The 27,333-nt window shown below is 39.1% G+C and overlaps 1 protein-coding gene across 4 annotated transcripts in view, besides 1 other annotated feature; it reads right to left on the bottom strand.

The window, feature by feature from the left end:
- The window catches only part of SRGAP1 (SLIT-ROBO Rho GTPase activating protein 1), a 317,518-nt gene that overhangs the window by 220,172 nt on the left and 70,013 nt on the right, over positions 1-27,333 (bottom strand). The window lies entirely within an intron of this gene.
- Positions 22,400-23,188: an enhancer, noted in NCBI's record as "H3K27ac-H3K4me1 hESC enhancer chr12:64312638-64313426 (GRCh37/hg19 assembly coordinates)". NCBI's record gives its function as "activates a minimal SCP1, AML or CMV promoter by ChIP-STARR-seq in naive H9 embryonic stem cells {active_cell/tissue: H9 hESC(naive)}" and the evidence as "EXISTENCE:reporter gene assay evidence [ECO:0000049][PMID:30033119]".

The following is a 27,333-nucleotide window of genomic DNA, read 5'->3' as shown; positions in this document are numbered from 1 at the left end:
AAAGGAGTTCCCCTCAGATCATTACTAGCACACACTTCCTCTTGTTTTAAACAGAATTCTAATACACTCAGGATCTGATTTCCAAACCTGTGATTTCCAGGTTTGGAACTTCTGATTTCCAAACCACATGATCCCAAGGAGGGATAATGTGATAATACATATCCTAAGAAAAGCAGACAGAAAAACTAAAAATATCACAGCCAGGTGGGGTCATTCTATTCAACAGAATCCAGGCTCGTTGGCATCATTGTACCAGAGAACAAGGTTAAATTATTTCCCACAAAATGTAATATATCAGTCAAGGAAATGCTAGAAATATGTTAGAAAAGGCTTTCCACTCAAAGGATCAAGTCCTTTTTTTTTTTTTTTCTAACTGGCATGTTAGGAGGAGGAGCTGTAAGTCCTTTTTCAAAACACTTGGCTACATTGAGGATTTTTCAAAAAATGTTCACACATTTTACTGTTAAGAGACAGCTTTGGTGAAACCCAAGTGAACTTCTAAAATAAAATCCCAGTTACAATTTTAGAGAAAACCATGAGCTTCACCTCTTATGTATGCAGCATATTGTATTAACTGCAGATCAAACGGATCACAGACATTCTCGAGATACATTACTAGTTGAGCTGATGTCAAATTCAATGGACCTGATTGGTATTTTTTAACCATAAAAAAACCCATCCTATCATCCAGGTCTCCAGTTAGAAGAAGATAATTAGTTCATTTTTTGGCATGATGACAAGACCTAACAGCCATTCCTTTTTTTATTCAAACAGAAGGACAAGGGATTACAGTTAATCTTGGCAGTTGTACCAAACTGCAAAAGCGCAAACAGTAGGAGAGAAAGGTTTTTGGGGTAAAGAAAGCTAATTAATATATATTAAATATATATTAAAGACTAATTTAATATATATTTATCAGGGATTAATGTTACCTTAAATATCTTATTTACCACAATGAATGTATTTTTCATAGACCAGCAACACTAAACGATGCCAAACATCACTTCCATTCAGAAGCCATTAAGTTTCTGACACTCGGTCTCTAGAGAACACCCAGAAGAAACAATCCCAGCTCTCATCTAGAGTAAAACTGCCTTTATCAGGCCGCGGGAAGGTAATGTACAACTGTGGCAATGATAAGCGGCTAGTTGTTTTTAGGCGGCCTCCACTGTCCATATGCCGATGATGCATAATTCATAGGAGATGCCACATGCTGCCTGAGGCAGGTGCCCTTGTGAGCCTTTCTGGTCACACTCTGAGGCATGTTGCCTCCAACGATGATAACCCTGGAATGTAAGAAACAAACGGAGGCACAAACAATTTCCCTAAATACTGTTTTTAAGCTGATAGTTAGAGGTCTGCTGAACACAGAATACAATTAAGAACAATTAGCCATTCAGTGGCACAACCACAGACAGTTCTCCTTGTGGCCTATATTTTAAACAAAGAGCCCAGCTTTCAGGCAGAATCCTCAACTATCCTGCAAATGAAGGAAGTATAAAAACTGCTTCCTATTTCCTGGCTGACCTCAATTCCAGACAGCAAACCCCCACCCCCTTAACACATGGCCCATCCCCTTCCTCCCCTGACACAAACACTCCTTGATCATAGCTATTCTGCTCAGCCTTTTTTTTTTTTTTTTTAAGTAGGGGAAAAGATAAGCAGTTGTATGAGAAAGAGGCATTTGACATAATATCAGGCTGGGCCACAGAAAAAGAAAAAGGCAGGATGGAGTGGGGGATGGAAGGAGAGAAGAAATTCAGTAGTAAGAAATGGGAGACAGAGGCCAGGTGCCATGGGTCACGCCTGTAATACCAGCACTTTGGGAGGGCGAGGCGTGTGGATCACTTGAGCTCAGGAGTTCGAGACCAGCCTGGCCAACATGGTGAAACCCCATCTCTACTAAAAATACAAAAATTAGCCAGGCATGGTGGGAGGTGCCTGTAATCTCAGCTACTTGGGAGGCTGAGGCAGGAGAATCGCTTGAACCCGGGAGGTAGAGGTTGTAGTGAGCCGAGATTGCGCCACTGCATTCCAGCCTGGGCGACAGAGAGAGAGACTCTGTCTCAAAAAAAAAAGAAAAGAAAAGAGAGATAGAAAGATTGTTTCATTTCTACAAGAGAAAATGGTTAGGAGTGAAGACAACACACTCACTGGACTTGAGAGTTGCAGAGACTTTACAGATCTTTAGGTTCAATCTCTCCATTTCACAGAAGGGAATAAAGGTTTGGAGCCATGGAGCCACCTTCCAGGGTCATGTCAGGTGTTTATCCTAATTAGAGATTTTCTAAGTATGAGCACCCTTGGGAGAAGATGCTAGCTTAACACTAGGAATAATTCTTCTTCTCCTGAGAAACAACTTGTTTTTTACTTCTTGGTTGCTGTTCACAACCTGGTGTTTAACAGACCAGGTTTCCCTTTTCACTGGAAGAAAAAACTTCACAGGAAGCCAGGGGCCCACTCATTAACCTGCACTTCAAACACTATGGGGTGCATTTATCTTGGTCTCTTTTCTAGCTTCCCTGGATGCCTTTTTTTCTCCTCCTTTCTTTCGGGTCTTCCATTTAATATTTTTGTTCTTTTGTATTTTATGAATCCTTGCAAGTTCCCTTACGCCTTTCTGAAGCAAAAACAGTATATTGCAAATATCTTATAGGACACTTGCCATTCCAAGGAACTTGAAATATTTTCTTTGTTCATATAGTCTCACTGGAACTTGCTGAGGAGGGAGGTTGAGTATTACTCCTCTACTTTACATCCTCCCGTTAAGAGTCTGAGATCTGTCTTGGGATTGGTGCTCTTATACTTATCTTCTCAGAATATACTTCCTCCTAAGTAAGAATTGGTATACTAATTGACCACTCAGTGCAGAATTTTTTGTTTTCTAGACAAGGTCTTGCTCTGTGGCCCATGGTGGATCTAGTGTGCAGTGGTGTGATCACAGCTCACTGCAGCCTTGATCTCCTGGACTCAAGTGGTCCTCTTGCCTCAGCCTGCTGAGTAGCTGGGACTACAGGCAAAGCCATCACACCTGGCTAATTTTTGTATTTTTTTGTAGAGATGGGATCTCACCATGTTGTCCAGGCTGGTCTTGAACTCCTGGGCTCAAGCCATTTTCCCACCTCAGCCTCTTGAAATGCTGTGATTACAGGTATGAGTCACTACACCCAGCCCAGATTTTCATATCAAAAAAGTATATCACAATTTGCTCAGATTAAATTGAAAAGTATATTAGCAAACCATATGCCTTTAAGGTCAATTTTCATTCAACTTAAAGGAATTTCAGGCTGGAAAAAAAAAAAAACCTAAAAACATTTCTGAAGAGATTTCACAAACAGTAGTAGAAGGTGCTAACATGGTAAAAGTTATTGCTTCACTCTATTTCCATATGTGTGCAAATAGCATGATAATCTATACCACCTTCCAGCTGTTTAACCACACAAGGCATCATTGTTATTTGGACAATATTGCCTAGAAAGGAAGAAAAGAGAGGAACAGGGAAGGCAATCAACTATTCTTTTCTGTTCACTTTCCGTAAGGATGGGATTGGCTTGGGCTAAGGTAAGGGGTCTTTCTCAAACTTCAGGACACAAGCAACCAGCCAGTAAAAACCCACCATGGCTCCGCAGTAACAGGTGACAGGCGAGCACAACCGGACACCCTGGCAAGCCTGGAAGACTCCACCCCGAACCAGGGCGGCATCTGCTCTTCCACCTCTACAAGGGCTCCTAAAGATCCCTGCATAATTCATGGGACTCAAGGAGAGGTGAAATGTGAACTGGCTAAAATGTAAGCATTTACATTTAGAAGCAGAGGAGGCACCAAACCAGGCTCAGAAATATAAAAACAGGCCTTTGGTGTGGCTCTGCAGCTTCCATCTCTACTCTCCTGTGCATCTCCCTTGCCCTGGGCCCTTTCTTCTCTGGCCACATGACCAGCTTTGGATGCTCATCTCAGTAGAAACCGCTGAGGGTTCCTCTCCGGAGACTGTTACACATGGCTTAGTCCACACAGACAGTGTGCCAATGTGTAAAACACTCAACTTACTTTTTGGCTGACCTGGTCATCCAGGGCTGCCTGCTGCTGTGTGGGGAGATGTTGGAGATTCCAGGCCAACCGTGCCACGGGGCGCTTCTGGACACAGTGTGCTGTTTCCACATGCTGTGAAGGGGCACGCAATACCAGGAAAAAACAAAGACTCCTGATGTGGGTAAAAAGAATAAAGAATAAGAAAGCGCTGTGGCTTTGCATTTAGAGTGCACCCGTTTTATTAGTTATTAGTGAGGGACAGCAGTTTAAGGCGAGCTCCTAGGTGTTAATATAACATGCTACATGTCTCATTAAGAAGCTACAAAAGGCCGTTTATTGTTCTCACGCTAAAGGTCCCTGTACACAGAGAAATCAAAACGTCAGGATTTTCCTGTCTTAGTCCTAAGGGAGATCAGTCTTTGAAGAGGATATCAAGCTATCCAAATTCAGCATCCCTGCTTTAATTAATCTACCATATGGGGCCCAGATGTCATAGACAAGTCACATTTGAACTAAGTAATTCATAGAATACTACTACATTTCATTTGCAGTATGGATAATGCTAAATTATCCACATCTAAAGAGAAATGTTCTTGGGGTTTCTGGTTTTCCCTTATTTCAAGTTCTATAGTAGATTATATATAAAATGGTACACATATAGATATACAACTTGTCACCAAGATGAAAGGACTTTTAAAGACCTGCCTCTCTTTTTGTGCTGTATGATTATGGGCCATTGTCAGCAACATCCCAGTTTTTCCTACTAAATGAGAAATTAACTCTAGCCTGGAATTCTTAGGTTTCTACAATCTAATCCCAACTTAATTTTTTGATGCAGTTATCATGACCAACCAATGTGCAACATCCACTGATCCCAACATGAGATTCATGTGCCAAATGCTGAGCACACTTTCACTCTCTGCTGCTTTTCTTTTCTTCCCTCTCCTCTGCTTTGGATCCCTAGCTCCTAGAATGTTACCTGGGCATAGAACAGGCATTCACTCCAGAACTGATGAATTAAGTACCACATCTCTCCACTGATATGGCGCTCTCTCATTTGAAAAAGCAGAGGGAAAACAGAAAGATTTGGAATTGGTAAATTTGGATTTGGGTCCTTAGGCAAGTGGTATCCTTTTAACTTCAGTTTCATCATCAGTATAGGGAATAATTATTTATATATTACCAACTTTGCAGAATTGTTGTTCAGATCAAAGTCAATCTTGGATATGAACAAGTTAGCAAATTGTAGAATTGATATATCAGTGAGAGAACTTTGGGCCCAATTCAAACTGGCTTTACACAATAAGGAAATTAGTTATCTTACAAACCTATAAGTAAAACGGAAGAAACTAGTTCACCTACACACGCTGGCTGAACAATGGTATTGATGACTCTGGTGCCCTCTATGTCTTCACTGTACTGTCTACACTTGTCTACTGGTTCCTCTTGTGCAGCAGCTCCGGGTGTCATATGAGACCAGAAAAAGTCCACAGACAATGAAGGGTCATCTCTCTTAGTGTCTACAAAAATTCTCAGAAGCACCTGAGCACATGTCCCCTTGCCGTCCCATAGGCCAAAACTGGGCTACATATCCAACTGTAAGCCAATTTCTGATAACTGGAAAGGAACTATCCTAACTGAAGAAAATTGGGGCTCTTCCAATATAGAAAGGGAATATGCTTACTGGGGAGGCAACTTGTCTCTGATGCAGTAATAACCTATAAATTTGAAATCTCATCATTATTATGGTATTATCTACTCTTCAAGCTCCAGCTTGAGCCCCAGTTCCTCTACATATACTCACTACCCAAGCCCAATCCTCTGGATTCGTGTATCTCTTATTGTACTTACTTCTCATTTGGTACGTCCTGCACACTGTTGGGCAGTCTCTTTTTAAAAAAATAACTGTTATTATAACACTAGTAATAAATATTCATTTAAGAAAATTCAGAAATATATTAAGAAAATAAAAGTTACTCCTACTCTCATCAGAGGAGATAACCACTATTAAACTTTTGGAATATTATCTTCCACCTTTTTCCCTTTTTTCTGTTTGTGACTGTTGATGTATGAAAGAAGAGTCTCTTTTTTGGGTATAAATGTTCCTGGATTTCCCAGCTAAAATTTAAACTCACTAAGAGCTGGAATTCTCCATGTTTCTTTCCAATTTTTCATAACAGTTACAGGATCTCAAGACACTTGCTGCTTCATATTTCTGTAGATCACACAAAGAAACTTTAATCTGCTCTATTTCTTTGGAGGATTAGGAAGAGGTTAATATAACAACATCATAAAACACAGCCAATAATTTTTCAGATATTCCTTTTTACCAATACTTATAAGAAAGCTTATTAAACTTTCTGGCAATAAAATACCTAGTGATATACTGTTTTCTGTAAGTGTTATTTTTGGACCAGAAAGTATTGTGTCATTTCCTTGATATTTAGCAATTTCATTTATACTTATAATTGAAGCCATTCTACTGCTTAAAGACATGATACCAAACTATGTAGATTAAATATAATTTTAGAACATATGATTCTCAGAAAATTCACTTCATAAAAGATAAATTCACCAAAACTTTTGTGTAAATCAGTGTTTCTATACAACCAAGTCACATTTTCAAAGTGTTGGAGTAAGTGGTTATTTGAAAAAAATAGAGCATAAATATTATAATAAAATAAATGGTCTTCGACTAATTTATCTGCTTTTCGGTCTCAGGTTTTGCCAACAGAGTTTTCTTAAATTAAGGCACAATTCCACGAGGCATAAAGCCCATGATAAATATTCCATTGCTCAGACTCTCCATATGACTTCATGGGCTCATTTTTATTTAAAAAAACATTTACTTTTTGAACATCTACTGTGTGCCAGGCTCTGCGCCAGCCACTGGGAGTTGAGTGGTGTGGAAAAACAAAGACATACCCTCCTCTCCCGATGTTCACAGGCTGGTGGAGAGCCAAGGGCACTGCCAAGAGGGTCTATGGGAAATTAAGACTTTTTGTCCTAATGACAACGCCCAAAGACAAAGCATCTGATTCTCGCCACCATCTTTTTGCCTTTCTATTCTCCATCTCCACTAATTAAACAAGAACAAACATGTCTACATTGAAACACACGAGTTTAGATTAAAATAGTTACTGGGAAAAAAAATGAGGTGAGGTAGGGATATTATAGAACCTCTTCAGGAAATCAATGAAAATATGTAGAACAACCTGAAAGTCCAGAGGAAAGGGCCAGGCAGGGGCTGAGCTGCTGCCTCAAATTTCCTTCCACTCTTGTTAACTTATTGCAGTTAGTATCTTTGAGGTATCCAGGGCATCCATCAGTCTATGGATATTTATGGAGCAGATTGTTGGGGGGGGTGGTGGTTGTGCTCAGATCCTGGAAAAATCAGAGATTATGGACCAATAAAGGGCCAACATAAGCTTGAAATAATAATGTATGAAAATAGACAAAAATATAAGAGTTGTTGCAAAGTGGGTTGTGCATATAGCAAACAATGGAGCTGTAAAGAGTTCTACGAGTTCAGAGGAAAGAAGGACTCTGATGTGCCAGGATATTCCAAGGACTTAGTGGAAGTGGTGGGATAGCTGCAGGGTTTCTTCGGATAGGTGGAATGGAGGCAGAAAGAGAGATGGGGGAAGCCATCTCTCTTGGGAGGCCAACCCAATGGGACTGACTCAAAAGCAGCTGGCAGTACGGGAGTAGAGCTCACTCAGGAGGTGAGATCTGGGTTTACTGACTTGAGAGGCAAAGGTGGAAAGATAGACAGCTGAAGCAACACAATGGATGGGCTCTCTGAGAGTTGACATGCCTTGTCAAGTGCAGAGCTTCCATGTGGGCAAGAATTAACTGACATAAGTAGGAAGAGTCTCCTTGTTTTTTTCAGGTTAAGGTTTTCACTCTTAGGAAAGTTATATCTCAGGGCAAAAGGACGATATTCCTAAGGGCTTTGGACACAACTTCTTTACTTGAAGATTTACTTTGGCATAGAGGTTATTTTAAAGTGACAAGGATGGCTTTTTTCCTTGGGTGCCTTCCCACATGTGCCAGAATTACTTATATTTATAGTAAGTGGCTTGTCCTTTTTATTAACATTGTTGTGACATCGCTGATTTCAATTTTACCTTATGCAACACTAAAAACTTCCATGAATTACCATTGGTTCACCTAAAATTTGCAAGATTGCTTTATTAAACCTGGGACTAGTTATTAAAGTTTTATGAGCTCCACGGGTTTCCTCACATTAGATTCAAGCTCTGACTACTCAAGCTTTTTGTTGTAAATGGTTCACTTTTAGTGTACTTGTGCATCCCTTTCAGAAAGAAATGGAAAAGAAAGATAGTTCTTTTAACACTGTCCTTTAAAATAGTCCCAAAATGTAGCAAGATACTTACCATCTTTTCTATATTTTCTAAATAGCATTTATTAGATATGATGTTTTCAATATTCAGTGCTGGTTAACCTGCTTTTTGTGTTTGTGTGTAGGTTTTTTGTTTGTTTGTTCTTGGTATGCTTCTAAATCTCAGCTAGGGATCTGGGTTCATAGACATTAATAGTCCCCATGCCCACAATTTACTGAATGAAAAGTGGTTTCCTTTTCTCCATCCTTATACTTCCCTACCACATATAACCTAGGTATGCATCTGTGTATTATCCCTCTACTCATGCATTCTTTGGGTGCCAAAGAATGAACCCCTCTTCCAAAATATGCTCTCCCAAGAATGGCAAAACCACCACTCTGCCTGCAAGGACATATGGTTCTTTTTATTATTATTATTATTATACTTAAAGTTTTAGGATACATGTGCATAACGTGCAGGTTTGTTGAGAGAGTCTCGCTCTGTCACCAGGCTGGATTATGGTGGCATGATCTCAGCTTGCTGCAACCTCCACCTCCCGGGTTCAAGTGATTCTCCTGCTTCAGCCTCCTGAGTAGCTGGGACTACAGGCGCACACCACCAAGTCCAGCTAATTTTTGTATTTTTAGTAGAGATGGGGTTTCACCATGTTGGCCAGGATGGTCACAATCTCTTGATCTCATGATCTGCCCACCTTGGCCTCCCAAAGTGCTGGGATTAAAGGCGTGAGCCACTGCTCCTGGCCTACGTATGGTTCTTTCTAGCAACAACACAGGCATATATTTGGTTGCTGAGTGATTTTCCACTTCAACCAGTCTCATATCAGAATGCAGGAAAAAATGCAAAAGGAAGTGAGCAGGGGCAAAGAACGCAGTCTCCTTTCTCTTGTATACTCAACAGAGCACAGTGCAAGTGCAATCTTAAATGCCAATGGTAAAATCAATTTCCTTGGGTCTTCTGCAGACTAGTAAACTCTTAAAATTTATCAGTGTGTTAGGTCCCTATATTTCAAGGACTTTGAAACACAATCCCAATCTTTAAGATAACTAATTTTAAAACTTTATTTACTTGTTATTATTTATTAAAAGAATTCATTCATTCATGAAAAGAATTAGTAATAAAGATTTCTCTATATGACGGTCATGCATACCAGCAACAGATGGAAATTTAATTTCAAATTTGTATAAGATCTGTTGGGAAATACCCATATCTGCATATTGTATTTCTTTGTATGGCCTTTTTTGCAAATCTAAAGTAAGTTTAGACGATCTAAAGACATCTCAAAATTCTGTATGGTTAGATTAGCTCATGTGTTTGATTTGACACATTCTACGGTTTTCAAACTCAGAATCTATTTTTTTGTTGTTTTTTTGAGACAGAGTCTAGCTCTGTTGTCCAGGCTAGAGTGCAGTGGTGCAATCTCGGCTCACTGAAACCTCTGCCTCCCGGGTTCACGGCATTCTCCTGCCTCACCCTCCCAAGTAGCTGGGATTACAGGCATGTGCCACCACGCCCAGCTAATTTTTTTTTTGTATTTTTAGTAGAGACAGGGTTTCACTGTGTTGGCCAGGCTGGAGAAATTTTCTTAACATTTGCTAGTCCCTGTCTCAGTGCTTTCAGTTAAATCACATGGACAGGTAGATAATCTATCCAAACTCTTTGGACTGACAACATGCAAGGCATTCAACAATCTGTCCTTCTCTTATTTTTAGGCCTAACCCTACATCGTTCTATGTGCACTCAAAATTCCAGTCAAACCAGACCTGATCAGCAGGCTACTTTCCAGCCCTCATTCCTTTGTCTATTCTCTTCCTCCCTTCTAGAAAATAATCCCCATGTGCATGTTAAAACTCTTATCCACCTTGTTCTAAGGCACAACTCAAATTTCTTCTACTGTGAAAAATATTCCTTGACTTTGAGACTTCCCCAATAAAGTATGATCTCTATTTTTCTGAACACACAGCCTTTTGGCCTTATTCATCTTGACAAGACCCATAGCACGTAGCATCATGTCTTGTCTAAGGTAGGCATAATGATATCTGCTGAATGAATAAATGAATAATTCTGGTGATTCAAGCAGAAAATCTCTCAAATGATATGTCTTGTTCCTTGCATTAACACAGTGCTTCATCCATATGTAGTAGCGTGTACTCAATAAATATTTGTTAGAGAAAGGAAAGAGAAAAAAAATTCAACTTACTGCAGAATGGCAATGTATTCAAACAGAAGTGTCATCAGTTAATTACAAGATAAAATTTTTTCCAGTGAAATGATTTCAATTGATTAATGGTACTTTGGCTATTACCTTCTTTTGCTCAAAATAAAGGCAATTTTAATCCATTTAGAGATATAGAAACTTAGGCCCAGAGAAAAGAAGAACAGCAGGGAAAGATGACTGGTTTCATTTCAAGTGTATTACTCCACTGTACTGTATCGCTTCTTGCTCATTAATGATGAATTTTTGAGTCAATCCAGACACAGTACGAATGTGAATCATCTGGCCAAAACTACAAAAATAAAACTACCAACATTACTTCATTATTGATGAAGAAACACATTTTAACAATTATAAAAGATTCCCTTTACGTGACTGGATTTTTTCTCACTTAAAAACAAAAGGAGGGGGAGGGTGGACAAACACTGGCTACACAAATGCACAGAGATTAAGCTATTAGAATTATAAACCAGTCTATTAGCAACTCATTATCAGTAAGAGGCATGCAAGGATAAACAAAATTAGTTACATAAAAAGAACCAAATTGAACATTTATGGGAAACTCATCTGGCCATATTCATCTTTTAATGTAAAAATAGCTTTGCAATAATAACCAAAAGTGTCTATTAGTCTATTGCCATATGCGGCTTTTTCATTCTTGACGCTTTTTGAATTTTTTTTTTCCAATCCCAATGAGTAAGATCATCTTTTCCATTAATGCAAGCCCAAACAATTCACTCACTCGCTCCCCAAAAAGTGAGGTACATTTGGTTTCTTTCTTCTGAGAAAAGAAATTGATGTAACCTATTTCTATATAATCATCAAAGATACTTATGCTTCCAGGACTGCCTGCATTCATAATTAAAAAGAGAGAAAAGTGACACCTAACATTTATAGAGCTTTGAATAGAAGGGCCAAGAGTCTCATAATTTGCATTTTGGTGTAGCGTTGCCATCTTTTAAAAGTTCCTATGTTTTATCATCTCAATTTGAGTAATGCTTGCTTTCCCCCTCAAGCACTTCAAATACTTAATATTGCTTTCTGATAAAAGAAAAAAAATGATTTGAATAAAAAGAGGGCTCCCCTTTTTTTTTTTTTTTTTTTTTTTTAGTAGAGACGATGTTTCACCATGTTGGCCAGACTGGTCTCAAACTCCTGACCTCAAGTGATCTGCCCACCACAGCCTCCCAAACTGCTGGGATTATAGGCATGAGCCACCATGCCCAGCCATGGGAGCTCCCTTTTGAGTGTTACGAATTTCTGTTATTTCTCTGTGAAAACAAAATGAAGCAAACATCAGTAATTCTTAGGAAAATGGATCTTTTGAACTAATTTACATTCCCACCAACAGTGTAAAGGCGTTCCTATTTCTCCACAACCTCACCAGCATCTATTGTTTCCTGACTTTTTAATAATTGCCATTCTGACTGCCGTGAGATGGTATCTCATAGTGGTTTTGTTTTGCATTTCTCTGATGATCAGTGATGTTGAGCTTTTTTTCATCTGTTTGTTGCCTGCATAAATGTCTTCTTTTGAGAAGTGTCTGTTCATACCCTTTGCTCACAAACCTGCACATTCTGCACATATATCCCATTTTTATAGAAAAAGAAAAAAATGTTTTGAACTTTGTTTTGAATTATAGTTTAGCTAACTACACAATTCTGAAAAGAACAGTTTACTCTAAAACAAAAAGAAAATGGATCTTTTTAGTTTTCTCTGGTAAGGTTTTTAATACCACTACAAATGCAGCAAATACAGTTCGCCTGTTACACAGTGTCAGAATTATTGGAAACTGACTATATAATTATGATACATACCATACAGTATTACTCATGAAAACATAGTTAAAAAAAAAAAAAAAACTCGTGGGGGCTTTAAAAACACCACAATCCCCAGAAACCACCCAAAGCCAACTATATCAGAAACCCCAGGAATGGAACCCAGGTATCGTTGTTTTATAAAATCTCCCCAGGTGATTCTCAGATGCAGCTAGAAAGAGGAGCACTGAGGTGCTGTCATGAAGATCAGAGTTTTTACTTTTACATTTTATTTAACAAGAACTTAAAGAGCACTAACAATCTAATTTAATTCTTGTAATGACCTTATAAGGTAGATACTAACTTCATTTATATTTGACAGATGAGAAAACTGAAACAGATACTTAGGCAATTTGCCAAAAGTCCTGGTGACAATGAATGGTAGAACCAGGATTTGCATTTGGCTCCAAATTCCAGGCTCCTGACTACCTCACTAGCCTGATTCTCCCAGAGGTAATTTACCTACAGTAAAGACCAAACACACAGACCTTAAGTGTTTGGTTCAGTGAGATTTGACAATTGTGTACACACATGTAACCAGGGGTCCCCAACCCCCAGGCCATGGATGGGTATTGGTCCGTGGCCTGTTAGGAACCAGGCCGCAGAGCAGAAGGTGAGCAGCAGATGAGCCAGGGAAGCTTCATCTGTATTTACGGCCATTTCCCATTGCTTATGTTACTGCCTGAGCTCTGCCTCCTGTCATATCAATGGCACCATTAGATTCTCATAGGAGCACAGACCCTATTGTGAACTGCACATGCAAGGGATCTAAGTTGTGGGTTTCTTATGAGAATCTAATGCCTGATGATCTGTCCTCATCTCCTGTCACCCCCAGACAGAACTGTCCAGTTCCAGGAAAACAAGCTCGGGGCTCCCACTGATTCCACATTATGGTGAGTTGTATAATTATTTGACTATAATGCACTTGAATCATCCTGAAACCATCCCCACCACCGCCCCCACCCCCAGTCCATGGAAAAATCATCTTCAATGAAACCAGTCTCTGGTGCCAAAAAGGTTGGGGACCACTGCATGTAACCACTACCCAAGACAGACTGAAAACACTTTCATGGTTTTGAGCTTATCTATGTTAGGGCTTGTATGAATAGTGTTTTCTGTCTGTCTCAACTGAGAAACAGGCCATGGTGGTATAGATATACCAGAATTTGCATATCCAGTCACCTGTTGAAGAATGTTTGAGTTGTTTCCAGTTTTGGCTATTGTGAATAAGGCTGCTATAAACATTTTTCTCCAAGTCTTTTCGAGGATATATGTTTTCATTTCTCTTGGTTAAATGCATAGGAGTGGAATTTCTGGATCATAGGGTAGGTATATATTTAACTTCATAAGAAAATGCCAAACAATTTTCCAAAATAGTTGTACCATTTTATACTCCCATCAGCAAAGCATACCCAGAGTGACTTTTAGGAGTAGCATGCTGCAATTTTCAAGTACATTCATCTAGAAGGAGGTGAAGTATAGAATTTGATAACTATTTGGCTGAAAAAGGAAAAGACAACCTCAACACCATCATCAACACTAACAAAACAGCTATTTTTCCTACAGCAGCATATCCTGAGTGGGTTCCTGAAAATACTGGTTCTGTTAGACATCAAGGCAGGCAAAACAAAGGGGCAAAAAGCACTGTATGTACAGTATACCACTCACTTGAAGATTCACAATGCATTCTAGCATATTGAATGCACGTTGGCTCTGAGAAGTCCTATTGTAAGAATCAATAAGGGAATTAGTAAACTGACAAATCACATTTAACCTAGCTGTTCTCAAGGGTTCCCAGTTCCCTCAAATAACAAATTATTTGAGGGAACTGGGAACATTATGGTATATTACCAACCATAAAGCGTTTATAGCTCTGGGGGACACAGGTGAGAGCAACTACCTCTGAAGAGATTGGACATGAGCCCATAAAGGAAACAGTATTTTATATGAGTCTTGCCAGACAGTAAGGTTTTAAACTGCAGAAATGGATGGAGAAAGCTGTAGAAAGGTTTCATTCTAGGCTTAGGTTACAGTATGAACTAAAGAACAAAAGAGAAGTGTGAAAGGCATAATGAAAATGTTGACCTAACGGACTGGGCCACTGTGACTGGGTTAAGAGAAAGTGGGGTCAGAAACAGGGAATATGCAGCTTCTGTGTAAACATGAGGATGCCACCTCCATCTGCTGACTGGCTGGCCTGATGGTCGGCCACAGGATAAGCGTAGCAATCAGCCAATAGATACTTACCAAGTACCTAATCCGGGCCAGCTAGGGACTGGGCCAGCCAGGGACTGCAGCAGGCACCAGGGGTACAGTCATAGTCTGCACTTGTAAAGTTTGAGGTGTAGTAGGGGTAGGCAGGTGCTTACAAAGCGCAAGTTCTAGAACTGTAGAATAGGAATGGATGACCAACCAAAGTCTTCCAAGCCATGGGAGTAGAATCTATTCAAGTCAAGAATTTCAGAAGAAAATACTAACAGACGTCAAGATGAAATACGTATGTATATAGTAGTTGACTCCCTCCATTACTATAAAATATATTGGTGGGGGGTCGGGGGATTGGGTATGTTGAGAGAAGAATTTGAGGTATTGGAAAAATATCCAGGTAGAGATGCTCAGAAATAGAATGAAGTTCTAAGTCAGAGGTTTGGGTTTATTGACACATAATATGACAAATGGAATAATTTCAATATTATCGACAACTCATATTTAAATCATAAGAAAGCCATAATAATATTAGACTCTGTAAACAAACAAAAAAAGACATAATACGAAGGTAGGGAATGGGAAGTGTTGATCAAAGAGTACAAAGTTTCACATTGGGAAAAGGAATAGGTTTTGAGACCTACTGTACATCAGGGTGGCTATAGTCAATAATAATGTATTGTATATTTCAAAATAACTAAGAATGAATTTCCAGTGTCTCACCATAAAAAATGATAGGTAATCGAGGTGATATGTTAATTAACTTTATTTAATCATTCCACATTGTATACATATATCAAAACATCACATTGTACCCCATGAATGTATACAATTATGATTTGTCAAACAAAAATAATATTAATAATAAAAATCCTAAAAAACAACAAACAAAAAGAAGACTTGAGCCCTACCCAGAAGGCAGGCAGAGCACAGACTTAGGAGGTGAACAAGTTGGTCTAAATTCAGCTGGACCACTTGCAACTTGGGTGACCATGGCCAAAGAACTTCACCTCTCTGAGCCTTCACTTTCCTCTCCTATGAAACTGGAATGATAACTATATTTATATCCCCCATGAGAGTATTATAAAGATTGTCTGAATAGAATAGCACAGCACCCAACACACAGCATAGGCTCAGCAACTCTTAACTATTATTTATAACAAAAAATCCACATTTGCTTGCTGTTAAGATATTAAATTAGAAGGGTAATTTTGGAACATCCAAAAAGTCTATGTAATTGATGGTGTGAGGAAGAAAGAATCAGAGTGCTTAAACCAGTGGTATAATATCAAACTACTATAAATATATATTATCCAATCATTTTTAGAACATGAAATTAAATTGCGGATTTGAGAGAGAAGGATAAAAGGAAATCCTCTTGAAACTGGGCAAGTTGTGGTCCTCCTCAGTCCAAAGTGATTTTTCACCTGCAATAAGGGACCATCTTATTTATGCATGAAGGTTTTCATTCTAGGCTTAGGTTACAGTGTGAATTAAAGAACAAAATGGGAAGTGTGAAAGGCATAATACAAATTCTGCCCTAACAGACTGGGCCACTGTGGCTGGGTTAGGGGAAAGTGGGGTCAGACATAGGAAACCTACAGCTTCCCGGTATAAACATAAGGATGCCATCTCTATCTGTGGACGGGCTGGCCTGATCAGTACAAGGACAGGCCACAGTATAAGGGCTACAGTATAAGCGCAGCAATCAATAATTTCATAGAAAAATTATTCTTACTCCTTTTCTTTTTGTCCTCCTTTGCTTTATTCCTTTTTCTACTTTAGATATTAACACGTGGTATCTGTGACTGTGAAAATTAAGTAACATATGCAAATTCTCAATAAATGTTAACACTTCCCTCAATTTTTCTTCGCTGTAATACTTCCCCCAAAATTTTAATTCTAAAACACTGAATGTGCATGATAATTTTGACTTCTGCACTGCAGGTACATCCTACTAATCGGCATAATTTTAATAATGAAGCTTTTTAATATACACAACTATTAACAATTTTCCTCAAATTTAACTTAAACCCCTCATCAAAATTAAGACATTATACATCTCATTTATTTTTCCCAATGATCAGAAAGTGTAAAAGCTTAGCATTTGTCTGCCCTGATGAGAGACTAAGTCATTGATGCTGAAAGTAAATAGTTTATAATAATGTCAGCAGTAGATTCACCTTGAATATGAATGCTGGTATGATTTGCACCTGAAGCAGTACTACTTTAAATTCAGGCAAGAGAAGGCAGGCCACTTCTTCATAAGGAGGCTCTGCTACTAAATCAGGATCCAGGAAACAAATCATACTCACTTTAAATCATCTGTTCTTTAAAGCATTATGGACACATTGGATAACATCAAATGCAGTGACAGTCACCCCTCCTGTACCATGCCAAAATGACACCACTTGAGAGCCATAAATAGCCTCCAACCAGATGGCATGGCTTGGCTTAAGTTGCGATCTCATTTTTTAAGACAAAAATTTTAAATTAATTCATTTCTTAATTCAATCATTCATTTGGCAAATTCACATTGCCCCAGTACTATGTGCCAGGCACTGCTGAGACAGTACCTAAAGGTGAGAACTCTCTTGGAGACACTCACACATTTTATTTCACATCCTCACAGGCTGGTTCTCAAGGAGCAAGCCACAAAGTAACCAAGTAACCCCTGAGAGAATGATCCCTCTGGGAGTTCCCCACACTGCTCCCTCCTTCAATCCTCAATAAAAAAAGGTGGCATTGCCAAAAGCAAAAAGTCACGGAAACCCCTCATCATGTAAGTGATAAAGTTCACTAGGGTATAAATTTGCTCATTCCTGTATTCTTTTTATTGTTGGAATGATTACAAATATTCTTTTTGAAAACCATATAGTAAACTAGCTATTGGTGTTTTAAAAAATCCTTATGCTCCTCCAAAAAACTGTTCATGTAATGCCTAAACTAGATGATCTCTAAAATATGGATTCAACAAAGGAAGAATAATCACAAAAAGTTAATGAAGAATCTATTTCCGATTTACTTTATTCTGGGTCAATGGAGCACTATTAGGTTGGGATGAGAGGTACTTTATAGAAACCCAACTCATCTACAACTCAGACCAAAAGAAGGATGGCACCCACTTTCTCTGAGGATTAATCAAAGGGTCTAATAACTTGAAGAACCTCTGAAGTAAAATTAATGTGGCTACAAAGATTTGAAGACAAAGGTTTTATAGAGTTCATACTCTTTTTTTTCTTTTTTTCTTTTTTCTTTTAAATGGGGTCTTTCTCTGTCACCCAGCCTGGAATGCAGTGGTGCAATCTCGGCTCACTACGACCTCCACCTCCCTGCAACCTCCACCTCCCAGGTTCAAGCGATTCTCCTGCCTTGGCCTCTCAAGTAGCTGGGATTACAGGTACCCGCCACCACACCTGGCTAGTTTTTGTATTTTTAGTAGAGACAGGGTTTGCCATGTTGGCCAGGCTGGTCTCGAACTCCTGACCTCAGGTGATCCGCCTGCCTCGGCCTCCCAAAGTGCGGGATTACAGGCGTGAGCCACCATGCCCAGCTGAGCTCATACCTTTTTGTTCACATATCAAGTTATATAAATGTCTTATGTGGTCAATGTTCAAGTTACCAATTAATTAATTTAGTCCCTTAAGAATCAATGGTATAATCTGTAGCCTTTACTCAAGTGACTTCCTCCTGAAATTAACAAGTTTTTTGATAACCATCATGTATACTACTTGTATAAAATGAAGAAACTTAAAGGAGATTGTTACCAAAGGGTCTTGCTTAGTCTAATAGGAGAGAAAATTATCAAGGAATCTTAAAATGGGCATTCGGAAGCAGATAATTTTGATTAGAGAGACAGAATAAGTAATCTATTAAATATCATCTTAATTATGTACTGATGTAGCTATAATCTCAAACTTTTCACATAAAATCATTCTTTGATACCACTGGTTAAAAAAATTACAACAGATTGATTTCCTTATCCTAATCACCCCTTAAATTAAAAAGTGCCAAAGTAACATATTAATGTATAAACAAAATATTTAGAAGCCTTTATAAAAGATGTTGTAAGTACGGCCGTTATAAAATGATGTTGTTGTAAATATAATATATAGTAGCATGAATAAAATCTATCTATAAGGCTGGGAGCAAGAGGGAGAGAAACTATGTCATGAAAAAAGTGACAGAGTTTGATCCAACTTTAGGGCAATAATGCATAAAAGTACATAAGAAAAGGCTGGTAGGGTATTACAAAATATTAGTGGCATTTACCTCTGAGTGATAGGATTAGCATTTTAGTTTATGGATTGGTCACCATATGATTTCTGAGTTAAGTAGGTGAGTAGGAAAGGTGACAAAATTCTTTTCCTTTGTACCAACAGTGAGTTCCCAGGAAGGATAGCTGCAAACGCAATGCAGATATCCTAGAGAAGATGCTACCAAACGTTTTCATATTATCTAGTTAGCCTGTGGGTTATGGAGCAAGTAGCAAGTCTTGGGGTGGATTTGTCCTTTCAGTAATTAAACAGATCTACTCTTGTGGTTGACCACAAGTTGGATCTTTCATTCATTAAGCATTGACTGAGTCCTTCTGCACCAGACTCTGTACAAATGAATATACGAAAAAGAAATGGCAATGTTTCTTCCCTCAAAGAGCTTACAGTTCATTGGGAGAGACAAACAGATGCCTCCCATGCAACAATGCCCAAGATATTGCAGGGTATTGCAGGAACACAGACAAGGAGCACTTGCTCTAACATGAGCAACTACAAGCAATTTGGTATGGCTGGAATGTGAAGGATGGTGCAAGAAGTGGCAAGCACTGATGCTGGAAAAGTAGGTTGAAGTAGGATCATGGAGGCCTAGTCTACCATGGTAAAGAACTAAGACTTTGTCTGTCTGAATACTTGAAAAGTTTTACTTGTGAGGTAACATGCTAAGTAAAGAGAAACTTCATTGACTCCAGGGCATCCCTAATGTAAAAACAGTCTGCAAATCTGTAAATGCTACTGAAATGCCTTCTGTTTACAATAATCCTGTTTTACATATGGACATCAGTTGAATTAGAGTTCCTGCCCCAAAATTCCTTAAGCTACATTAGAAATCAAATTCCATAGATTAGAAATCATGTATCTTGGGCCAGGTGCAGTAGCTCATGCCTGTAATCCCAGCAGTTTGGGAGGCTGAGGTGGGTGGATCACTTGAGGTCAGGATTACAAGACCAGCCTGGCCAATATGGCAAGACCCCGTCTCTAATAAAAATACAAAAATAAGCCCGGTGTGGTGGTGGGCGCCTGTAACCTCAGCTACTTGGGAGGCTGATGCAAGAGAATCACTGGAAGCCGGCAGGGAGAAGCTGTAGTGAGCCAAGATCACACCACTGCACTCCAGCCTGAGCGACAGAGGTGAGACTCAGTCTCAAAAAAAAAAAAAAGAAAGAAATCACCTATCTTGATTTCCTTCACAATAAATAGTGGATGCAGAGTTGTGATGGCTAAGGAAATATAAAATGGAACTAAGACTCTTTCCAGCAAGTTTTTTTTGAAGAGTTTATCTATCATAACCAAAAGTATTTCTCTTAGAAAGGCCTATAAAATCAATTCAGATATTTGAGCAATCCCTTGTTCCCCAACTGATTTATTCAACAAATCTTCATTAAATGTTCTCTACGTACCAGGCATGATCACAGATCACTGCAGCCTCAGACTCCTGGGCTTAAGCAATCCTTGAAATTATATTCTTTAAGAACATATAACAGATAATCCTTAGTTGTGGCAGGCGTGGGAGCATATGTACGTGTACACGTTAGGGGAGCAGGGGTTGTGAGTGGCTTTTCCAAGGAAGTATCATTTGAGCTAAAATCTAAAGGATGATGTTACTTAGAGTTGTATTCCAGGTTCAGCCTGTGCAAACGCCCAGGAAGGGAAATGAATTTGTGCCTTCAAGAAACAAAGAGATGCCCAGAGAGAAGAAAATAGCTAGAGATGGCACTAGAGATATGGGCAGGAACCTGGTCATTCAGGTCATATCGTGGATTACTCATAAAGGCAATAAAGAAGTCTTGAAGGGTTTTGAACTTGGAGGTTCAAAGTGAGCCAGCTGCAGAGTCGACAATGGATTATTGAAAGATTAGAACAAATGCAGTTAGGAGATTACGACAGCACTCAAGGTGCAAACTGGTGGTAACGTAGCTGGCATTAGAGTGATCACGATGGAGATGGAAATAAATGAACACATTCTAGAGATATTTTAGAAGTAAACTGTCAGGTGGTGGTAATGGAGTGGTACTGGTGACAAGCTAGGGGGAGATATTAAAGATGACTACCAGATTTCTGGCTTGTCGAACCAGATGGATGGGCCACCACTCACTGAGATAAGGAAGAAGTTCAAGGGTGGGACAAAAAAGCATTTGTTCAGTTTTGTACATGTTTAATTGAAGGTACTTTTGAAACATCAACAGATGACATGTCAAGTAGGTAGCTACAAATACAATGAATATATATTCTCCATATTAAAAAAACTTTTCATTTTCTCCCCAACCCTACTCTTCTTTTCAAGGTCTTTCCCATTTCGTCAATGGATCTACATTCTCTGTTATTCACTCCCAAACCAGGATATTATCCTTAATTCCTCCCTTTTTCACACCTCCATCCAAACCATTTACAGGTCTCACTCACCAGCCTACCTTCAAACTATGTCCTGAATCTAGCTTCTCACCACCTTCTTCACCAACACTGACAGAAGCCAGAACTATCTCTTGCCTTAACTTCTGCATATCCAACTCATCTCTAGGGTCTCATTCTCATCATCCCCTATAATCCAATCACATAGAAGCCAACATATTTTAAAAACATTAATCAAATCACATTCCTCCCTTCTAATCGCCTTGTCATGTCTTCTCATACTCTCATATCAAGTCTAAAGTACAGTATTTACCATGGCATCCCAGGTTCTAGGAGAACTAGCCTCTCCACTCCTTCCCAACCTTGTATCTCCAGCTCACTTCTCTTTATTCACAAGGACTCTCTTGCTACTCCATGGACATCTCAGGATAATTTCAGCCTGTGTTTTGTTGCCTTGGAACATTCCACCCATCAGTCATTCATGGTTTGGTCGTTCACTTCATTCAGGTTTCTGCTCAAGTCACCTCTTCAGAGGCTATATCTCAATAGTTATCAGGAAATGTCAATGAAGACCACAATGCAATGTTATACCCACCAGACTGGCAAAAATTAAGATGTTTTATAATACCACGTGCTGATAAAAAGTGGGTCTGCTGGAGCTCTTAATCACTTATGAGTGGGAATGTAAACTGGTGATGCTCCTTCGGAAAACAATGCAGTCGTATCATGTGAACTTGAACACTGACATACCCAATAACCATGCAATTCCACTCCCAGCAATAGGCCATGGAGAAACTCCTGTATATGTGTGTTAATAGGAACACATGAAAATGTTCAGCAACATTGTTCAAATAGCAGAAAGCTGGAAACAATCCAAATATCCACCAACAGGGCAATGAATCAATTGATTCTGCATACTCACCCAACAACACATAATTCAGCTTTTAAAATGAATGAACTACAGCTACATGCAACAATGTCAAACAGTTATACTATTTTTACAAATCAAAACAAACAAGCAAAATTAGCTGTATAGTACTTATGAGCATATTTTTAAGGGATAAATAACATTTTTTAAAAAAAGGCAAGAGAAAGAAAAAAATTAGGAAGTAGTTGCTTCAAAAGATAGGCAGGTATATGGGATGGGGCAGAGCACAGATAAGTGCGACAGAATTGGCAGGGCTTTTGTTTGTAGATTAGGTGGTAAGTCATACATATGACACTGTTATCCTTTATAATTTTCAAACATAGTTGTGTGTGTGTGTATGTGTATATATATATATATATATATATGTAATGTTAAGTTAAAACAATTAAAATATTGGCCAGGCACAGTGGCTTACACCTGTAATCCCAGCACTTTGGTAGGCCAAGGCAGGTGGATCATTAATATACAAATATATATTAAATGTTAAGTTAAAACGATTAAAATATTGGCTAGGCATGGTGGCTCACACCTGTAATCACAGCACCTTGGGAGGCCAAGGCAGGTGGATCACTTGAGCCCAGGAGTTCCAGATCAGCCTGGGCAACATGGCGAAACCCTGTCTCTACAAAAAATACAGAAAGTAGCCAGGCATAGTGGTGTGTGCCTGTAGTCCCAGCTTCCAGTCCCAGGAGACTGAGGTGGGAGAATCACTCCAATCCGTGAGGCGGAGGTTGCAGTGAGCTGAGATTACACCACTGCACTCCAGCCTGCACCACAGAGCAAGATCCTGTCTCTAAAAACCAACTAAACAAACAAAAACACAAAAAACACCCCTCCCCAAAAAAACCAAAATACGAAATAACTAACATACCTCTTCTCTGAACTTCATTTGTCTTTATAGCACACGTCACTCCCCAAAGAATATATACATACACACTGACTCACACTCATGCACTCATTTCCTTGTTTATTTTAAGTCTCTCCCATTAGAATGCAAACTCCCTAACTGTGGAGTCTTTGACATTCTTGTTCACCACAGTATTTCCAGGCCTAGAAGAGTACTCGGCATATACAATAAATATTTATGGAATAAATGAATAAATGGATGAACAAATGGCCTAGATAGTGCAAACAAAGCAATAGAGCACTGGCTGGTGCAACGGCTCACGCCTGTAATCCCAGCACTTTAGGAGACCGAGGTAGGCAGATTGCTTGAGCCCAGGGATTCGAGACCAGCTGGGGCAACATGGTAAAACTTCATCTCTACAAAAAATACACAAATTAACTGGGCATGGTGGCACATGACTGTAGTTCCAGCTACTCAGGAGACTGATGTGGGAGGGTCACTTGAGCCTGGGAGGCAGAGGCTGCAGTGAACCATGACTGCACTACTGCACTCCAACCTGGGTGACAGAGTGAGGCTTGTCTTAAAAAAAGAGAGAAAGCAATAGAGCATAAAAGGCTTAGTTCATGAACCCTGAAGTCAGACACTTCCAGGTTCAAATCAAGGCTCTCATTAGTCTTCTTAGCTGGGTGACCTTGAATGAGTTGCTTAACTTCACTGGGTTTCCGTTTTCTCATCTCTAAAACAGGGTAATGGGGGGAGGAGGGGTTGTGATGATTAAAAAAAGAATTTAGCACTTTGTCCAGCACAATATTATTCTTGCACAACGACAGTGTAATTTCCTCATAAAAAGCGGCTTTTTATTGCTCAAGGACATAGCTTTGAGCAATCTGCATTCTTTACGCAGTTTTACTATGACTGATTTTGTCCACACCCAATTTTAAAATGTGAACCAATTGGGCATCCTATAGTTGTTGCTACAGTTTGCTCAGACTAAGGCCATGTGCTAGGGAAATCTTGTAGCCACCAAACTTCCAGTGAGTATGGCACAATATAATCTTGCATTTGTGCTAGCCACTAGCATAGGAAATCAGCAAGACGAGAATAGCAAAAATAACAGCCATTTATTCACGGTTTTCTGTAGGATAAACAACACAGACACATCATCCCATGAACTTCTCACAGCTAGCGTGGGAAATTGGTGTGTACAAGAATTACAGAAAGCAGGGTGGGAAATTGGTGTGTACAAGAATTACAGAAAGCAGGTTCATTATAAACTGTTTTCAAATTTGGGCCTAAGCAGGTTCTGAAATAGAGACCATATTCAAATAGTAATTAGAAATTCTTAAGAGTAGATTTGCACTATCAGCTATAATATATCCTTTTAAAACAAAACAGAAAGCAAGCTCTTTCACATCCTAGATGATGACTTATTTTATAGTAGTAAAACCCAGGGCCTTCGCTGCTGTGAAGCCCATGCAGTCCCTTCCAAAAATTATGGTAGCAAATTCAAAAGGAGCAACTGCGCAGTGCTGTTGACTCACATTGCTCCCAACACACTCACAATAAAAATGAACTTTTCAGTGAACTGACCTATATTTTCCACCCTGGACTCTAGCCAAGACCCAGGCATCCATACCTCTAATGGACCATACTGTCTTAGAGAGCCCTAGGTCTTTCTGGGAGTCTTTTCCAGTTCTGCTCAGGCTCCAGGTCCAAAGGACAGCCCAGGGGTTCCGACGACTCAGGAGAATCCCAGATGAATAATAATTACTCATCATAACAATAATAACGCTTTATACGGTGTTTACTATGTATCAGGCAGTATTTATTATTAGTGTTGTACATATATTTGCTCATTTAATCTGCATAACTGCCATTAAATAGCATATCCCATATGTTATATCCCATGGGGTAGATATAAAGCTTGCAATATGACTAAATCTCACAAGTGAGATTCCTTAAAGTGAACACATGAAATCTATATGCAATCTGACCTTGCTGAGCAAGGTGAGACCACAGCAGAAATCAGCAGCCCATGCCAAATGATCCTTGGTGGTACTGGAAAATGATCTGGCCTCGTGGTTTTGATCAAATGGCACACTCTCCTCTCAGATCCAAACCACAACTTCCCCAAAATTAATCAAGGAGAAATAAATGGATAGAGGGTGGAGCAGAAGAGTACTTAATTTTTGTCACATTTCACACCCTAACTACTTCTCATTAAGTCTACTGGCCTGCATGCGATTCCCAGACCTTTCTTAAATCTCATGACTTTTATATCATCCTAGGCACCTTATGCCCCTTCTCAGCTTTCAGCATAGTCACAACTTCCTCTGGAATTTCTTCCTGATTCAAATGTTCCCCGTCATTTCCCTCCAGCCCCTCTATGCTTAGAACACTCTGCACACATTTCCTACAGTATGTAATTACTGCTTTCAGTTTTAGTTATTTTGTCCATCTCCCCTTTAAACTTTTAGCATCTCAAGACCACGGATGACATTTGTTTTCCCAGCGTCTGGTATAGAGCTGGCTGAGCTGCTGCAGACAAGTAATAAATGTTTACTAACTGAATGAACTAAGGAAATCATGCTCCTCAAAGATGGCACACAGTTTCTCATCACCCACCTAAAGGTGTCTCAAACTGGTGGGGATCTGCCTGATTTGTAATGAAGGAATTATAAAACAACCTTTCAGGCTGGGCATGGTGGCTCATGCCTGTAATCCCAGCACTTTGGGAGGTCAAGGTGGGCAGATCCCTAGAGCTCAGGAATTTGAGACCAGCCTGGGCAACATGGTGAAACCTCATTTCTAGAAAAATCAGGCAGGCATGGTGGCACATGCCTTGTGGTCCCAGCTACTCGAGAGGGTGAGGTGGGAGGATCGCTCTAGCCTGGGAGGCAGAGGTTGCAATGAGCCATGATCACACCACTGCACTCCAGCCTGAGTGACAGAGTGAGACCCCATCTCAAAAAAAAAAAAAAAAAAGAAAAGAAAAGAAAAGACACCATTTCTGAGCATTTTGCTTCCAAGCCCTAGAATTTAAACTTGCCTCTTTTTCAGTAAAACAATAACCAATACTACCACCTATGACCAAGGCTTCTATTTCATCCTTGAGACTTCTCACTTCATTAATATCCAAGTTTCTGAATAGCTTTTGAAGGTTAGTGAAAGGCTGCTCAAAACGTTTTGAGCTGAGTTTCTGTTCTGAGAGTTACTTTTTCTCTTCAGGGCAAATCACATTTGGTTTTCCTTTATCTTTCTAATAAATGCTGTTTGAAAGGTTGGAGGCATTGAAGGTGAAGAGAGAAAGACATATCTAGAAGTTGTTAATCAATAAGGAATTTCTCTGGACGCCTGTGTGACCTCAGCGTTTTTCACATTTCCACAGGTCTCCTTGGAGATGGTTGCTATGATCACTCAGTGTCTCCAGCTAAAAATCTTCAAAATGTGGATCACTGCTTTTATTCTCTTTTGTCTCCTCTTTATTAGCTGTTTTCCCCTCACACATATTTTATTTCTCTATGAATGCAATCTGCTCATAATTTTTTATCAAATTATATTCCATACAAATAGAATGCCCCCATTCTTTTGGTTCCTCTGGAAATGCTTTTATTTGGATTATAACATTTGGCAGTCCATTAGAAATACTATTTATACTTTTATGTTTCCTGGTTCCCTGAAAGTAAATTATTCATATGGCAGTTAGCCCTGCCTACTTCTGTTTCAAAAAACACTAATCTACACTGGAAGTAACTAAACATTGACAATAAAAATGTCCAACCTGATTGATGCTCTTCATGTTGCTTATTTAACAAGCCCTTAGCATGGAATATCTCCAGATTAATTTTTAAATTTATGCAACTTTTATATTTCCCCTCTTTACTAAAGTTAAAGCAAATATACTTTTATTTGACTCTACTTTCATTATTCACATTTCAAATATCTAAATTATTTCATGATGGAGGTTTCTTACAAAAATATATAAGAAGAAAAAGAACTTGAAATGCTGAGTAGATTAAAACAAAATTTAAGTATCAATTGTCCAATAAGCAGAGAAAGCTAAAATACAATATTCAAAAACAATCTTAACATCCTTCCACAGCAAGGTTAGATGCTTTGTTGAAATATATAATTCAAATGTAAATTACAAAATAGAGCTCTTCTGGGATTTTTCAAAGTCCTAATTACGTAGGTCAGCTGAATAGGGAACATATTTAGAAAAAAAAAAGTACGGAAAAAAATATAGTAAATGAATCAGAGGGAATGGTTTTTAGACAGAAACTTGTAGGGTTTTCCGTTAGCTGC

The sequence above is a fragment of the Homo sapiens genome, chromosome 12 (assembly GCF_000001405.40).
Source record: "Homo sapiens chromosome 12, GRCh38.p14 Primary Assembly".
NCBI classification, from domain to species: domain Eukaryota; kingdom Metazoa; phylum Chordata; class Mammalia; order Primates; family Hominidae; genus Homo; species Homo sapiens.
This window is presented reverse-complemented; position numbering and strand designations above follow the sequence as displayed.